Below are 16731 nucleotides of genomic sequence, written 5' to 3'. Positions count from 1 at the left end.
TGGGTGTAACCCAACTAGAATGTGAAGTTTTTAGGTTAGATTTTTTGGCATGTCCCCAAACTCAGCAATAAGCACACAATCAGCCTCAAAATAAATATTTTGTATAGGGTCTAACCATAACACTAACCATTCCTCTTTTTTTTTTTTTTTTTTTTTTGTGAGATCAAGTCTCGCTCTGTCGCCCAGGCTGGAGTGCCGTGGGGCGACCTCAGCTCACTGCAACCTCCACCTCCTGGGTTCAGGTGATCCTTGTGCCTCAGCCTCCAGAGTAGTGGGTATTACAGATGTGTGCCATCACGCCCAGCTAATTTTTGTATTTTTAGTAGAGATGGGGTTTCACCATGTTGGCCAGGCTGTCTCGAACCCCCAACCTCAGGTGATCTGCCCGCCTCAGCCTCCCAAAGTGCTGGAATTACAGGTGTGAGCCACCGTGCCCAGCCCTTCCTATTACTTAAATTTGGTAGTTTTGAGAGAATTTGTTTCAGAGTAACACAACTTTTACTGCAGTTACCTAATCTTGATGCAAAAACTCAATTCTGAGAAGCACACAAATACTTAAATGACAAAATAAGGCAAATTTAAGACAGTTACATGTCTTTATTACATAAACATCATAATATTTCTCATAGGAGTTGGTCTTCAGTTTGCTTGTTGCTTTCGCAGAATGTCAAATATCTATAGAAAATGTCTAATTATTTATGAACAAACATTCCCATCCCTGCCCCGCAAAAAATCTCATTGCCTGCAATTCCTAACCAGATTCCTGAGAAAAATAATAGGATTTATTTTATAGCATCATACATAGATTTTCTTTCAAGATATAAAAAAGGACAGACTTCTAAAACATGAATCTCCTTTCGTTTACAAAGTTCTATAAAAATACATTAAGTATGTTCAAATGTTTGTTCTTTCACTTTATATTCCAGTTTACCAGAAACAAAAAATGGCAGTACATAAAGATATGTAAACCACATTAATCTTGCAGTAATATAATGTCAACATCATCATGAACACCTTGCAGAAGCAGCTCTCCTGGATATGTTACAATCTTCCTTCGTTTTGCAGCTTTAAGAGTTCCTACCAATGCTTCAAAGAGGTTGGCACATTTATCATCACGGAAGAGGACCCCAAATTTCACGCTTAACTTTCCATCAGCATCTAGTTTGAGAAAATACATTGTTAGCAAATGCAAAGTCTGTTTCATACCCTCAAGTATGGAAGACTTACAAAATCTTTAATAAATTTATAACTATGGGCTATCCAAGGTTGCAATTTAACACTTAACAGTCATAAATTCAACATATTCTCTTCCCTGATCCAAAAAGTAATGGAATAAATACATGCTATATGCCTCTTGGCCTTAGGATTATCCAGACAAAGACTGAGAACCAACATTTACAAAAGTTGAATGTGCTACAGTGCTAATACTGCAGATGAATTTCTCTCCCTCTATTTTTATTTGTTAATTGTTACGTGAGTTTTTGAATCAATAAACACTACAAATGAAAGAGAAAACCAGGATCAAGAGCAGTGTTTCTCTAAGTGTGTTCTGAACACTCGGAATCCCCAGGGTGGGAGTGGGGGGCTCCTTAAAAATGTATAATCATCAGCCATTCATCAGGACCACTGAATCTGAATTCCCAGTAGTAGACTCAGAAATCTGTATTTCATATGAGCCCTAGATTATCTTATTTGGAGGCCAGTTTTTAACATATACATTGAAAGTTAAGATAGACCAAAAGTAGATCTGTTGTTAAACATCAATAACCTGAAAACCTGGAGGCAAGGGTAATCTGGGAGACACCTCCCTATCCTTGGGCGATTCCTTTGACCACTTGACTGAATCCCTGACCTCTTCCTACCCCTCTACTGCAGGTTCTTCCCTTCCAAGGTTACACCCACTGTCAAGACGATGGCCATCACAGTGAGGGGAGGACCATTCCTTGACCAAAGGTTCTTGAGTTCCCATGCTCCCTGGCTAGAACTTCCCACTGGATGCTTGGCAAACTCCTACTGTGAGCGCAGCACTGTGTTAGACACTAGGGGCAGACATAAGGAGGTAGAGAATCACTTTCTAGAGAGAATAACTTTCTAGCTTTCAAAGCAATGACTTCAATTCCCATGAGGAAATAAGAACTATACACATAACAAGTAAAGCAACAGTACAAAGCAGTATGTGATTGGATGCCAAATGAGAAGCAAAGAAAATACATCCCGGCCGAGTGCAACGGCTCATGCCTGTAATCCCAGCACTTTGGGAGGCCAAGGTAGGAGGATACCTTGAGCCCAGAAGTTTGACACCAACCTTAGCAACATAGTCAGACCATGTCTCTCCTAAAAAAAAATATATATATATATATATACACACACACACACACACACATATATATATATAGAAATATAGAAATATATATATATATATATAGAGAGAGAGAGAGAGAGAGAGAGAGATGGGTCTGGTGGAATGCACCTGTGATCCCAGCTACTCAGGAAGCTGAAGCAGAGGGCTGTTTGAGCCCAGGAGTTTGAGGCTGCAGTGAGCCATGATCGTGCTAGTGCACTCTAGCCTGGGCAGCAGAGTTGAGACCCTGTCTCATAAAAAAAAAAGAAGAAAAAAAGAAAATATATTTTACAGTTTAGAGGAGGGCAAGATGTCTTTGGGCAAGAATGGTAAGGAAGACTTCATGGAGGAGACAGTACTTATTCTGGACTTTAAAGGAGACAATAACTTGGAGCTTTTTTCTTTTTCCTCGTCTTCATTGTGATGATATACATGAGCTTTTTAAAAACCTAATAGTCCTCAGTTGAAATCTCTGCCATCTACTAGTCATTTGGCCTTGGGCAACTTGTTTAAAGCTCCCTAAGCCTTGGCTTCCTCCTGTGTAAAATGGGGACCTGAACATCTTTTTCTCAGTGCTGCCAGGAGACACAGTTCGAAAGCACCCAGCACAGTGCCTAGCACACACTGAGTATCAGCAACCAGGGGCTCTGTTGTGACTGAGACAAATGGGGAGAGTGTGCCAAGCCACAGGCAAGGCTGAAAACGAGTAAGGTGGCTGGGGGAACAGTGACCAGCGTGAAGTTTACTCACCTGAAGTAGATAATCTAAGATGAGGAGGACAAAAGATGTTCTAAAGGGAAAACAGGGAATCTGACCATGTTTGGCCTGGAAAGCAAAGATGCACCTCTTTGATTTTTCAATTTCTACCTACATGACACTCTGTGCAACAGGAACCTGTCACTGATTACAGGTAGAAGTGGAGCTGCTGGTAACCTCAGGCAAGTCCTCCAAGCTCTCTGAACTTCAGGTATCCATCAAATGAGGGCAAAAATACCTCTCACAGGGCTGTTGCAAGGATTAACAGACATAATAAAGATAAAGCCTCTTATAGAGTCCCCAGCATACAGTAAATTCTCAACTTTGGTTAAAATTTTTAAAGGCACCAAAGACAGAAACCTGAGTGTAATCTTGGAGTTCTCATGCCCCCTCACCCCTCAATCTGACAAATGTTTGGGTGATTCCACCTTCTTTGTGCCTTCTGTGGCTGCTGCCTCTCCTCTCCAATCACAGTTAATTCCTTGGTTCAGGCCCTGAGTGTTTCTCACATGCATCACTGCAAGCTGCTGACTGAGAACTCTGTACCAGCCTCCTTTTCTGCATTTTTGCCCCTCAATACATCCTCCACATGGGTGTGGAAGAAAAAATGTGGAAGAAACTTTATGAGATGCAAAGCTCATTGTTACTCTTCTACTTTAATCCCTCTTTGGTTCTTTTTTCTTTTTTTGAGACAGGGTGTCGATCTGTTGCTCAGGCTGGAGTGCAGTGGTGTGATCACAGCTCACTGCAACCTCGAACTCCTGGACTCAAGAGATCCTCTTGAGCCTTCCAAGCCTCCCACGTAGCTGGGACTACAGGCGTGCACCACCAAACTTAATTTATCTTTATTTTTAATAAAGACGAGGTCTCAAACTCCTGGGCTCAAACAATCCTCCCGCCTTGGCCTCCCAAAGTGCTGGGATTACAGGTGTGAGCCACCTCATCAAGGCTACTTTAATATTTCAATGGCTCCCTATGACCTTCTAAATAAAGGGAAGTCCATGGCCTCACAGAAGAGGCTCTTCATCCTCTGGCCTTGCATCTATCACTTGCCTGGTCTTCTGCCATATCACTGCATGTACCTCCTGATCCAGTCACAATGAACTGCTTGCTGTGCCTAAGATGATATGACAGATTCTGCCTTTGTAACAGTGCCCGTGTTCAGCCGTCTGCCCAGAAACCCAGAAACTTCTTCCTAGCTAAATTCTTTTTCTTCAGGAATGAATTCAAATGCCACCTTTTCTAGAAGTCCTTCATGATCCACTCAGTTGAGTGAATAGCTCTTCTTATAAAACTGAGTATATATCTATCAAAGCACTCACCATCATTTATAGTATTAATAGCTAACATTTATTGAGTACTTGCTATGATCCAGAACTGTTCGATGTATTTTACAGTCATTAAAATTCACTTAATCTGTATTTCATGGAAGATAAGACACAATTGATTACAAGAAGCATCATTATTTTATATTATAATTAAACTGCCAATTTAACCATAGCATGCCATGTACTATAAGATGTATTTTTATTTTAGAGATTTTTTTTTTCTTTTGAGATGGAGTTTCCTTCTTGTTGCCCAGGCTGGAGTGTTATGGTGTGGTCTCGGCTCACTGCAACCTCCGCCTCCCAGGTTCAAGTGATTCTCCTGTCTCAGCTTCCCCAAGTAGCTGGGATTACAGGCACCCGCCACGAGGCCCAGCTAATTTTTGTATTTTTAGTAGAGACAGGGTTTCACCATGTTGGCCAAGCTGGTCTCGAACTCCTGACCTCAGGCAATCTGCCTGCCTTGGCCTCCCAAAGTGCTGGGATTATAGGCATGAGCCACCACACCTGGCCTATTTTAGAGATTTTTTAATGTGAAGAAATGTGTCCTTGAAATAGAGTATTATTGTTTTACAAATAAGGAAAACAAGGCACAGAAAAGTTTAGTAAAGTAGCCAAGGTCACACAGCAAGTATGTAGAGGAGCTGGGATTCATTTCCAGAGAGTCCGACTTTACAGCCCATGTTAATCACTTCCCTCTAGGTACTTCCAGTTTGTCTGTCTTTCAGCTACCTAAAGAGGACCTCAAAGATGGAGATGGAATTTTGTTCATTTTTACATCTCCAGCACTTGAGCACAAAGGGGACACTAAAAAAAATTTGTTGAATGAAAGAATTTAAATTTCCAAGTGCACTCTCCCCATTTAATCTTTTTTCGCTATATGAAAAATGAGACTTTAAGGAATTTGACTTTCAATGAAAAGATAAAACTAAATTCATCAGTTTTCATCCTCAGCTCATACATCATATGTAGACTAAAGCAAAATCACTCCAGATACAACTTAAATAATTAACCATAACACGTTCAAAGATAACACATATCTATATATGCTTTCAAACTCAATAAGTCATCTTTTGCCAGGAATGAGAAAGTCAAGGTATCCTGATGAAGCTGCAAAATTAAAAGTATTTCCATGCTTATAGAAGTTACGATAATTATCTTAAGTCTTCTAATGTGAAAGCTGCTAATTTTGAAGTGGAATTTCAGTTTGCCTTACCAGAATAATGACACTCTTCTAGTAATGTAAAGGTTAGAATTTAAAAACTAATTGAATATGACCAATAAACACTAGGCTGATATGGATAAAGAAAAGAAAATCCTACAAATCTTTGGAAATATGCCTGTAACACCTATAACTATCCAAACAATAGTAATGCACGGCTGGGCCCAGCAGCTCATGTCTACAATCCCAGCACTTTGGAAGGCTGAGGCGGGTGGATCACATGAGGCCAGGAGTTCGAGACCAGCCTGGCCAACATGGCGAAAAACTGTCTCTAGTAAAAATACAAAAATTAGCTGGGGGTGGTGGCAGATGCCTGTAATCCCAGCTACTCAGGAGGCTGAGGCAGGAGAATTGTTTGAACCCAGGAGGCAGAGGTTGCAGTGAGCCAAAATCGCACCACTGTACTCCAGCCTGGGTGACAGAGCAAGACTCTATCCCAGAAAAAAAAAAAAAAAGAGAAAAAGAAAAAAACAATAATAATGCTGCCAAGAGTAACATGACCTCACTGAGCTCAGGAAAAATCAGGAGTGTGGGAGGAGGAACAGGAGGGACATCACTATGGAAAATAAGACTCATCAGGCCTCCATCAAGTGGGTGTGGTGAAATGCGTGGGAGAAAAATTGAGTTAGGGAAGACTGTTGATTTCTTTGATTAGGAAACTAAATACATTATGGCCAGATGAAGTGGCTCACGCCTGTAATCCCGACACTTTGGGAGGCTGAGGCAGGCGGATGACTTGAGGCCAGAAGTTCGAGACCAGCCTGGCCAACATGGCAAAACCCCATCTCTACTAAAAATACAAAACTTAACCAGGCGTGGTCGTGGACACCTGTAATACCAGCTACCAGGGAGGCTGAGGCACAAGAATTGCCTGCACTCAGAAGACAAGAGGTTGCAGTGAGCCAAGATGGTGCCACTGCACTCCAGCCCGGGAAACAGAGTGAGACTCCATCTCAAAAAAGAAACTAAATAAATTATATTTTCCAATGTCTTCTCGGTGTTCTCTTCAAACAATACATTCATTCCCATTCCAAAAACCAACTCATGGATTTCCCCCTAAACTGACCTGCCCTCCACTTCAAAGTCCTACCTGAGATGCAAGACTTCATTGAGTGCCCCCAACTACTACAACTTCCAATAATCTATTTTGAAGGGACCATATTGCATGTCAGCACTTCATAGTTCAGCATACCATTTTTTTTTTCGGATAATTGCCTCATGAGTTTTTTATTGTTTTTGTTTTTGTTTTGAGACAGGGTCTCACTCTGTCCCCCAGGGTGGAGTGCAATGGCTTGAACACGGCTCACTGCAGCCTCGACGTCCTGAGCTCATGCAATCCTCCTGCCTCAGCCTCCAGTATAGCTGGGACCACAGTTGCATGCCACCATGCCTGGCTAATTTTTTATTTTTTTGTAGAGATGGGATCCCACTTTGTTTCCCAGGCTGGTCTTGAATTCCTGGGCTTAAGCGATCCTCCCACCTTGGCCCCCTGATGTGCTAGGATTACAGGCCTGAGCCATGGCACCTGGACTATGAGATTTTATCTGTTTTCATCAACTAAGTAGTAAAATCCCTGAGGAAAAGGAACACACTTTATACCACTTGTACTACACAGTTATTAGCATATATAGATACTCAATAAGTATTAACTGATATGATTCAACTCAGTTGTTGACTAACTTAGGTATGGACTTAGAGTCCATACCAGCTTTAATATGCCTCATTTATCATTTCTTGGTACATTTCAGTAATGACGACTCGGGTTTGATATAGAAATAGAGTGACTAAGACAAAAAAGAGGGAATAGTAGGAAGAATAAAGGCCCCCGAAGATATCCATGTACCAATCCCTAGAATCTGTATGTTACCTTACATGGCAAAAGGGACTTTTCAGATGCAATTCAATTAAGGACCCTACGACAGGAAGGTATCCTAGATTATCTGGGTGAGCCCAGTGTAATCCAAAAAGTCCTTAAAACAGAAGAAGGAGGCAGGCCAGGCACGGTGGCTCACACCTGTAATCCCAGCACTTTGGGAGGCCGAGGCAGGTGGATCACTTGAGGCCAGGAGTTCATGACCAGCCTGGCCAACATGGTGAAACTCCATCTCTTTTATGTTTGTTTGTTTGTTGAGACAAAGTCTTGCCCCATTGCCCAGGCTGGAGTGCAGTGGCACAATCTTGGTTCACTGCAACCTCCGCCTCCCGAGTTCAAGCGATTCTCCTGCCTCAGCCTCCCTAGTAGCTGGGATTACAGGCACATGCCAGCATGCCTGGCTAATTTTTTTCTGTATCTTTAGTAGAGACAGGGTTTCACCATGTTGGCCAGGCTGGTCTCGAACTCCTCACCTCATGATCCAACCGCCTCAGCCTCCCAAAGTGCTGGGATTACAGGCGTGAGCCACTGCGCCTGGCTGGTAAAACCCCATCTCTAATAAAAATACAAGAAACTAGGCCGGGTGTGGTGGCTCACACCTGTAAACCTAGCATTTTGGGAGGCCGAGGCAGGTGGATCACCTGAGGTCAGGAGTTCAAGACCAGCCTGGCCAACATGGTGAAACCCCATCTCTACTAAAAATATAAAAATTAGCTGAGCGTGGTGGCAGGTGCCTATAATCCCAGCTACTTGGGAGGCTGAGGCAGGAGAATCGCTTGAACCCGGGAGGCGGAGGTTGCAGTGAGCTGAGATTGCACCACTGCACTCTAGCCTGAGTGACAGAGTAAGATTCTCTCTCGAAAAAAAAAAGAATTAAAAGTGGAGGATGTCAGTATGATGCAATGTGTGGACTCAATCAGCTCTTGCTCGCTTTGAAGACAGAGAAACACAGTCATGAGCCAAGGCAACTTCTAGAAGCTGGAAAAGGCAAGGAAACTGATTCCCTCCTGGAACCTATAGAAAGGAGTCCCCGGCCAACACCTTAATCTTACTCCAGCAGGACCGTTGTCAAACTCCTGACCTACAGAACTCTTAAGATATTAAATGTGTTGTTTTACATCACTAAATTTGTGGCAATCTGTTACAGCAGGAACAGAAAACCACTGCAGGGGACATTTGATATTAATGGCTTAATGGAATTTTCCAAGTGTGTCCTGTTACTTCAAAGGATTTGTGATTCAGGAACAGATAGTGCTTTAAGAAGAATCAAACTATAATGACACAAATCTTGAGAGCTTGTGAGGTACTTTCTAGAACTGTTTTTCACTTACATGATGTAATTTTAAAACTTCGAGTTCTATTATCCTAGTTGTTGCTGAATATGTCTATTATTCTTATTATTTTCAAAATGCCCCCCAAATTCTTGCATATCTCATCTGAGATGTACCAAATACCTAAAGCCGCAAGTATAATAGTAATTTTCATTACGACTTAGGAAGAAGACACTAACACTACCAATTTTGCATGTCACTATCTTCAAGGAAGCTGCCTAGTTATTGCTGAAGAAAAAGATAATTTTTCTTAAACACTACCTAAAGGATGATTTATTTTAGTTACATTACTTAATATCTGATTATACAAAACTCAAGATTTGGAGAAAATAAAGACAATTTAGTATAATTTAGTATAATTTCAATGTAAATCCCTAGTCATTTAGAAGTTTGTAAAATGATGATATTTTAGATAAGATGATTTGAAAAAAAAGAAGTTTGTAAAATGATGGCAGAACAAGGCAGAAAACATGAATTTTAATAGTATGACAAGTAAAAATTTGAACATGATTCAATTACCAAATTTCAATGCAGTCAAATACAAGAAGCTTGGTAATTTGCTTTCTATCGAAAAATAATGAAATATCTCAACTATTCCCTGCATCAGAATCACAATACCCCAAAAGCCCCGTGTCTCCAGATGTCAATTCCTGGCTAAGGGCAGTTATAACCTGGGGCTGTGGGCAGAGCTCCCAGACCTGTGTCCTGAAGCCCTGGGTGACCCCTTCATAGGCTTCTCCAGCATGCCAGTCTCACCTGTTCCAAGGTAAAGCCAGGAGAAATACTCTATCTCTGTCAGATACTTACTTTTTGAACCCAAACGATGAATTTCCTCCACTAAGAGGTTAACCTCGTGATCCACATTCATTGCTGCCTGGGAGAGAAAAAAAGGAAGTCTAAATTATCACCATTACATTCCATTAAGCACATCCAAATCCAAGAGCCCTTTGTCTTGTTCAGGTCGCGTCTGTCACTATTAATTTACCATGTTCCTTTTCCTAAAAATATTTGTGTGATGCATGTGGCACTGAAGTGTCCCCATTTTCCCTCTACCTTTGTAACCGCCCCCTCAGCTCCCTGCACTCCTATTCTCCACGTCTGTGGGGGAGAATACAGCCATTCTCCTTGCACCCACGATTCACTACAGCCATTCTCCTTGCACCCACGATTCACTATGCGTAGGTCCTCTTCATGGTATCCTGCCAGGCACCAAAAATACAAAAGGTGTGTAGCACAGGATCTGCCCTCGGGGATCTCACATTCTAAAGGCAGATGAGGGCCTGCAATGAAGAGCAATGAGACGAATACTCTTTGAGTGGTGGGTCCAAGGCATATGGAAGCACAAAGGAGGAAGCAGCAGGAGGCTTCCTGGAGGTCACTGGGGAGGACTGGTCCAGCCAGACTGGTGGGGTAGGGCACTCTACACAGGAGGAAGTGCATACACAAAGCAAGGCAACAAAGGAGAAAACACACGGCACACTTGAGGCAGGCCTAAGCTGGGGGCTGGGCACCCCAGAATGAACTGACAAACACTCCCTGCCCTTCAGGAGCCTGTAGTCTAGTGGGGGAGGCAGATCAATACAACAGCAATTTTAATACCATCCGGTCAATCCAGTGACGTACAGGGACGTCATGGCCTTCTCTGGGCAGTGCCCAGTAAATCCGATTGCAATAAATAGCTCACGGTGAAGTTCATTCATCTGCAGATAAGGAGGAGTTCAGAATAAAACAAAAGCTGAGCCTTACCTTGGTTCACTAAGTCCTCCACGAGCTGGGTCCCGCACACTGTTCCAGCCTCTTCCACCCCCTTGAACTCTAGGCTGTAGCCATGTGGGACTTTTTAATCTCTCAAATGCCCCCTTGCTCTCTCACCTCCAGCCTTCACACATACTGTGGCTTCAACCCAGACTATAGCTATTCCTCCTTCCAGGAGCTAATTCACACACATCCTGCTCCAGCTTAAATAAAAGCCTTCCCTGAAACCGTGGAGGAGGAGCACCTCCCTCACTGTGTGTTCCCATAGCACCGGGTGCCCCTCTTCATTTCACTTAATTGGAATTACATTTCTGGACTTTCACTTCTACAGGGTAAGCTCCCCTCTGCAGGGATCTGACTATAATGCTCACTGCTCTATCATGTCTGGCACTAAGAGTAGAGGGTAAAGAAATATTGACCTCATGAACTGAAAAGAACACGCAAAGGCATGAGAGGGATTGGAAGTACACCTGCAGGATGTCAGGAAGTATGAGCAACTGGGTAGAAGATGCATCAGTTCAGTCTGTTTTCAAATCATAATTTTTTCAAATCATATAAGAGACCAAAAAGGGGGAGTTGTGTGTATGGTTTCCTTTGGGGTGATAATTTGGAAGAAACAACTTTATCCAGATGGATTGTAACTAATTCTTGCTAGCTGTTAAAAACAAGAGTGACACCTATGACTATATACCACCTGCTTACATGATATTGATTGGGACACTAGATTTTCTATCTGCTAATTATTAAAAGTGCCACTACCATCTGCTCTGTTGCTTGTGCGAATATTATAATTTAAGAAGCTTAGATTGCAATAAAACGCAAAATATTCAATTAAATGCATCTTCATAAAACTTAATATGAAAATTTATAGTGTTCAAATATTGAGGACTTTGTGTTGGTGAAGTCATATCTGTAACATTATATGCAATTCAAGACTAAAAAGCGAAAATATACACAGAGTACACAGGCACGAGGCCTGAACACCATGCCATGAGAATAAAAGTAGGAAAGCCCGGGCGCGGTGGCTCGCGCCTGTAATCCCAGCACTTTGGGAGGCCGAGGCGGGTGGATCACGAGGTCAGGAGATCGAGACCATCCTGGCTAACACGGTGAAACCCCGTCTCTACTAAAAATACAAAAAAAAAATTAGCCGGGCGTGGTGGCGGGCGCCTGTAGTCCCAGCTACTCGGGAGGCTGAGGCAGGAGTATGGCGTGAACCCGGGAGGCGGAGCTTGCAGTGAGCCGAGATCACGCCACTGCACTCCAACCTGGGCGACAGAGCGAGACTCCGTCTCAAAAAAAAAAAAAAAGTGGGAAAAAACTATTAATAGCAGTGTGGTGGGCAACTGTTGTTTTGTCTGCCCAGCACCCATTTCCCATTCTGGCACCAGCAGTCTATGTTTTGTTTGGATAAAGCCTTTCCCTCCTTATGCTAAACCCATGTATCCTGGGTAGAGTCTTACCCTGGGCCCAGAAGCAGTTCAGGGCCAGAATGATTGGTTTGAGGCATGACGTAGCTGAGCCCATCCAGAACAATGAGGTTCAGCCCTGTGATTTTGCTAGAACTATTAGTAAAATGACACTCTCCTTTCACTGGGTTCTATGATATTAGTTTATAGTCCCTGATGTCAATGGCCACCATGTGAGAACAGCTTGCCAGGAGTAAAGCTAACACAAAGAAATGTCCAGCCATATAACAATGACTGAGCCTATATATGACCCTGGACTTTCCAACTACATGAACCGGTATCTTTCCTTTTTGCTTGTGTTGGTTTGATTGAGTTTCTATTACTTGCACTCTAAAGAATCTTGACCCATAAAGTTAGCTTAGAGAAGAACTGCTGCTTTAAAAACAAAACAAAAAAAACTAAAGCTCTTTTTTATGTACTTATATGAATAGTCTTTGTGTTCCTCTACTGGGTAGGATGGGTAAGTGTAATAGAAAGGCAGATTTGAGAGCCATATAAAAAAGTTATCTAGCAATTAAAATTGCCCAACAATGAATAAAGTTTGCACCCTGTTCCTAGAAATATTAATGCAGACATAGTAAGGATCTGTGAGGGATGATGAGGAAATTAGCCTGTACTGGACAGAGGGAGAATGAAAATGTCCAAAGAAATTAAGGAACTTTCCAATTCTCTGATTCTCTGATTCCCGACCCCGGAAAGATGTTATCTCTTTAACACCCTTCTTCGCTCCTTCCTCCCACCTCCAGCAACATACTTCAGACTTAGCTCTCATTGAATAATGAGCATCAAAGGGGAAATTCATCTATTATATATAGTACGCATACCTGCATTATAGTAAGCAGATGTACGTTCATCCAATTTTAAGCATGAAAGGCAACCAGCGTTTCTTTATAATTAATTACACATCAGGCTCCTTATCTACGTTAATTCATGTAGTTCTAAGAACCTTGCAAGGCATTTATTTACCTCTATTTTAAGGATAACGAAACAGGGGTTAATGCCCCACAATTAAATGCTGTCTCTACCACATCGTGGTGGCTGTTTCCCCGCTTCCTCTTCCTCTTTTGCCATTATGCAAATACACTAAATATAATAGTGAGTGGTATTTGTATGAAACGTGACATGCTGAGCTCTTACCAAGGCAGAACACTTACAAAGCAAGAAAGGCTCCCTGCCCAGACCACCATAAATAGGAAAATAACAGGTTTAAAAACAATTGCTAGCATACATAATTTGACGTTTTATTTATTTATTATTTAGGAAGGAGAGGGACAAAGGGGGAAAAATACCTATTGTGACACAATCCTTTAAAGACCCATGGCCTTTTATAATAAGGACAGAATCCCAGGACTGCAGAGAGCAAGATGAAGAACAATGAAGGGGGCGGAGGGTGAAGAGAGGTTGATGGGTATAAACACAGAAGAAATAAGACCTGGTGTTGCATTGATCAGTGGGGTGACTATAGTTCACATTAATGGATTGTACACTTCCAAATGGCTAAAAGCAAGTTAAGTTGAATGTTCCTAGCATAAAGAAGAGATAAATATTTAGGGTGATGGATATACCAATTACCCTGATTTGGTTATACGAATGTAACACATTCTCACGAGTACCGTGAAACTATGTCTAAGAAAAAAAAAAAGAAAAGAACAATGAGGAGAGGTGAGAAGCAGAGCAAGTCTAAAGGGAAGAGCTTAATGGTGAGCGGCTGGACCAGAAGACAGGAAAAGGCTCCAGGGAAGGCGAGGTAGATGACGGCCAGGCACTCTAATTGTCGCAGAATCGATTTCGGCTTTGTGCGTGGGAAACACAAAGGAAGCGGAAAGTCGGAGGACTGGGCAGAACCCGAAACTCACCACCAATACACACTTTAGAATGTATTTAAGGACCCTCAGGGCATTGTTATTTTTCAAAAGTTTGGAGGCAATGCATGGAGATTTTCTAATATCCAAGGAAATAAAGCCTACTGGAATAGGTATGTCCGGAATCAGGAACCAACTTTACACACTCGGGCTGGGCACGTTTTCCCAGCCCTTCTTCGCAATCGCGGACAAGCAGCTGGTGCGGGTCAAAGGGTGACTGGGCTCCTTACTCCCTCCGGTCTGGGGCGCGCTCACTCCATATTTGGCCATTCTGCTACCAGCTTGGGGTTCTGCCTGGTAGAGGTCCCCTAACCCCGTGCCCTGCAGCCCATCATCACACGGTCACCGCCGGCACCAGTGCAGGGCTGGGGAGCGCGGGGCTGGGCCCCCCGTGGCGGGGCGGCACCGCTGGCGCCCGGGAAGGGCCGCGTCCCGGAAGTCTTTGTCTCCGCAGCTCCCGGCCCGGCGCCGCGGGTCTGCCTCCCCCGTGGCCCGGGCGCCCCGAAGCGCCGCGAGAGCGAGCACCCAACCCGGGCGACGAAAACGGACCCTGCCCCGGGCTCCACGAGCCCCTGGTGTCCCCTCACGACTCTGCACCCCCTGATCTGGAGCGCACAGAGCCGCACCCACCTCCGGCGCTGCAGAGTCCACTGCCCTGAGGCCACCACGTTCCTCGGGGCAGCCTCTCCTCTCGCCCCCAGCCCTTCCCCACCCAGCTCTGCAGAACTGGCTCCTGAACCACCGCCAAGTGCAAAGCCGACACGTCGCACCGCGGTAAAAATCGTTCCATTTCTGCCGGCTTCCCAGTCCGCCCCCGGCCGGCGAAACGTCACGTGAGCCGAGTGCGGAAGTCGACCCGAGAGGTGGGGGCGTGGGCGGCGCGCGCCCCACGGGACCCCAACCCGCGAGGTCTCGGCCCAGCCGGTCGCAGCTTCCGCGCGCCCTGAGCCCCCTCCCGGCCCCCTCCTGACCCGACTCTCACCGCAGCCCGCGGTGCCCGGCGGCGCACCACGGACACCCAGTCCATCCCTGCTACCTAAGCCACATCTGCCCGGGCGCTCACGCACCTCTCTGCGCGGTTTTCCTTCCCGCCGGAGAACTGGCGCCGCGTGGGTCTGGACCCGGTTACCTTCTTCAGTGCACTGGGGAGGGTGAGGCCAAGGAAGGAAGTGGCTGAGGCAAAGAGAAAGACGGCTGTGGAGGAGGAGGAGCAGGGTAGGGGGAAAAGTAAGTGTTTCTGCGCTCAAGAAAGGGGCCGCCCACACTCCCAGGGACAAGCCTATGAGGAGGAAACTCAGGGGAGGAGACGTCCAAGAAAGGGGCTGACTGCAGACAGGTGAAGCGCCCTGGGCTCCTAGGAAAACGGGCCCAGAGCCTGGATTACCTCACTTTTCCACCGTGCTACTCAGAGCCAAGGATCCCAGGATCTGCATCTGATCCTGGGCGTCGATTTCCTGATGGATTTCTCTCCCAACGTAAGAAACAAAGCGCCCTCAAATTGCTGAAGGCTGCTAGAAAGAACGTGGCATTCATGGGTTCCGGATGCCGGGGGCCTCCAGAAAACTACGACTCATGACTTAAAAATGGCTTAATTCGCAAAACAAAATGCAATCTTGAAAGCCAATTTGTCAGACTGCAAAGAAATTTTACTTGGACATAGATAGTTGTTGACCCTGGGTCAGTATCGGTTTCTTCCCTTGTTCATTCATTATTTCATACATTTAACTTCATAATTCAATTTATTCATGCTCCCTTTGTTTTAGTCACTGTTATTTTAATATATGCGTGTGTGAGAGAGAGATGCTTACCGTACCCAGAGAGTCCTTTTGGAAAGGAAACAGTTACCCAAACTATTTCTAGAGCAGGGGTTGCACAAATAACTACAAAAAACGTTCCTTACCCCCTCCCCACCCCCAGCCCAGCTAATTTAAATTAAGAGTGATCGCGTGACCCAAGAGCGCACAATCCGTGATGTAGTCATCATCCTGTGAGGTGACCTGGAGCAAACAGTTCTCATCAAACACGGACTCTGATAGTTAGTAAGCCAATCAGACACTCCCTTGGAAATGGAAAGTGGAGAATGCAGAGACGGAGCTGTCTGATGTAAGAGAAAGGTTGGAGCTAAGAGAGGGTAAGGCAGAAGGGGCCAAAATGGGCTTCGGATGCAAAACATTTGAGTAAGCAGAAACCAGGAGAATGTAGCAGCAGGTTGGGTGGAGGCACAAGTGGTAGAAGCCAGTCAAAGACAAGCTGAGACCAAGTGATGGAAGGAGAGCAACAAAGACCTGCTTCCCAGGGGCATGTGAGTGTTCAGTTCCCTGGGGCTGCACTGGATCCATCCACTTCCCACGCTTCATTCTAGTCTTTACGGTGAATACCTGTCTCCTGGGTGTGACTGAAGGAGTCTCTGTTCTGTAATCTTCAACAAAGGTCTGATTCTTCTAAGTGTCTCATGGCAGATAAAGTTTAAGGTGACTCCAAGATCTTTTCAGACCTATTTTTTTCTTTTACTTGTTTTATATTGTTACCAAAATGATTGAGGCCTATTTTTTTCTCACCAAAAGAAAGGTGAGAAGTTATAGTTTATATCTTTCACAGTCGACATAAGGCAAAAAATATATAATTCAAGAAAAATATATTTAGCAATTATCGAAGCAGGACCTCGCTATTTTGGCCTGTGACAGGGATCACAATTCATCAGTCAGATAATATCCAATGATAGGAATAATGAGTCTGGAGAGCACCGCTTCTGTTATGATTAGGTAATTAGTATTGCCCTAATTGCCAACCAAAGAAA

General features: G+C 44.2%; 1 protein-coding gene across 3 annotated transcripts, besides 6 other annotated features; it reads right to left on the bottom strand.

Annotated features, from left to right (window-relative positions):
- Positions 1-574: 574 nt before the first annotated feature.
- Positions 575-15132, bottom strand: ABRACL (ABRA C-terminal like). Of its 3 annotated transcripts, XM_047419197.1 has the most exons (4): positions 14565-14778; positions 10022-10128; positions 9656-9722; positions 575-1158 (listed from the first exon to the last, which is right to left on the bottom strand). In XM_047419197.1, exons 1-4 carry the CDS (start codon positions 14722-14724, stop codon positions 974-976), a joined length of 519 nt encoding a protein of 172 aa, XP_047275153.1. In that variant the 5' UTR covers positions 14725-14778; the 3' UTR covers positions 575-973. The 3 variants fall into 3 exon arrangements, with proteins under 3 accessions (XP_047275153.1, NP_067066.1, XP_016866640.1); NM_021243.3 differs by lacking the exons at positions 10022-10128; positions 14565-14778 and adding an exon at positions 15002-15132; XM_017011151.2 differs by lacking the exon at positions 10022-10128.
- Positions 13349-14168: an enhancer, noted in NCBI's record as "NANOG-H3K27ac-H3K4me1 hESC enhancer chr6:139350846-139351665 (GRCh37/hg19 assembly coordinates)". NCBI's record gives its function as "activates a minimal SCP1, AML or CMV promoter by ChIP-STARR-seq in naive H9 embryonic stem cells {active_cell/tissue: H9 hESC(naive)}" and the evidence as "EXISTENCE:reporter gene assay evidence [ECO:0000049][PMID:30033119]".
- Positions 13349-14548: a biological region, named in NCBI's record as "Sharpr-MPRA regulatory region 12009".
- Positions 13939-14129: a silencer, noted in NCBI's record as "fragment chr6:139350885-139351075 (GRCh37/hg19 assembly coordinates)". NCBI's record gives its function as "represses an EF-1alpha promoter that drives an FKBP-Casp9 reporter gene in an ReSE screen in K562 erythroleukemia cells {active_cell/tissue: K562}" and the evidence as "EXISTENCE:reporter gene assay evidence [ECO:0000049][PMID:32094911]".
- Positions 13991-14285: an enhancer, noted in NCBI's record as "tiled region #12009; K562 Activating DNase matched - State 4:PromP". NCBI's record gives its function as "activates a minimal TATA promoter and a strong SV40 promoter by Sharpr-MPRA in K562 cells {active_cell/tissue: K562}" and the evidence as "EXISTENCE:reporter gene assay evidence [ECO:0000049][PMID:27701403]".
- Positions 14179-14548: a silencer, noted in NCBI's record as "silent region_17604". NCBI's record gives its function as "represses an Ori minimal core promoter by ATAC-STARR-seq in GM12878 lymphoblastoid cells {active_cell/tissue: GM12878}" and the evidence as "EXISTENCE:reporter gene assay evidence [ECO:0000049][PMID:35858748]".
- Positions 14809-14968: a silencer, noted in NCBI's record as "silent region_17603". NCBI's record gives its function as "represses an Ori minimal core promoter by ATAC-STARR-seq in GM12878 lymphoblastoid cells {active_cell/tissue: GM12878}" and the evidence as "EXISTENCE:reporter gene assay evidence [ECO:0000049][PMID:35858748]".
- Positions 15133-16731: the final 1599 nt, after the last annotated feature.

The sequence above is a fragment of the Homo sapiens genome, chromosome 6 (assembly GCF_000001405.40).
Source record: "Homo sapiens chromosome 6, GRCh38.p14 Primary Assembly".
NCBI lineage: Eukaryota > Metazoa > Chordata > Mammalia > Primates > Hominidae > Homo > Homo sapiens.
The sequence above is the reverse complement of the archived record's forward strand: the minus strand, read 5'-3'. Positions and strand labels throughout refer to the sequence as shown.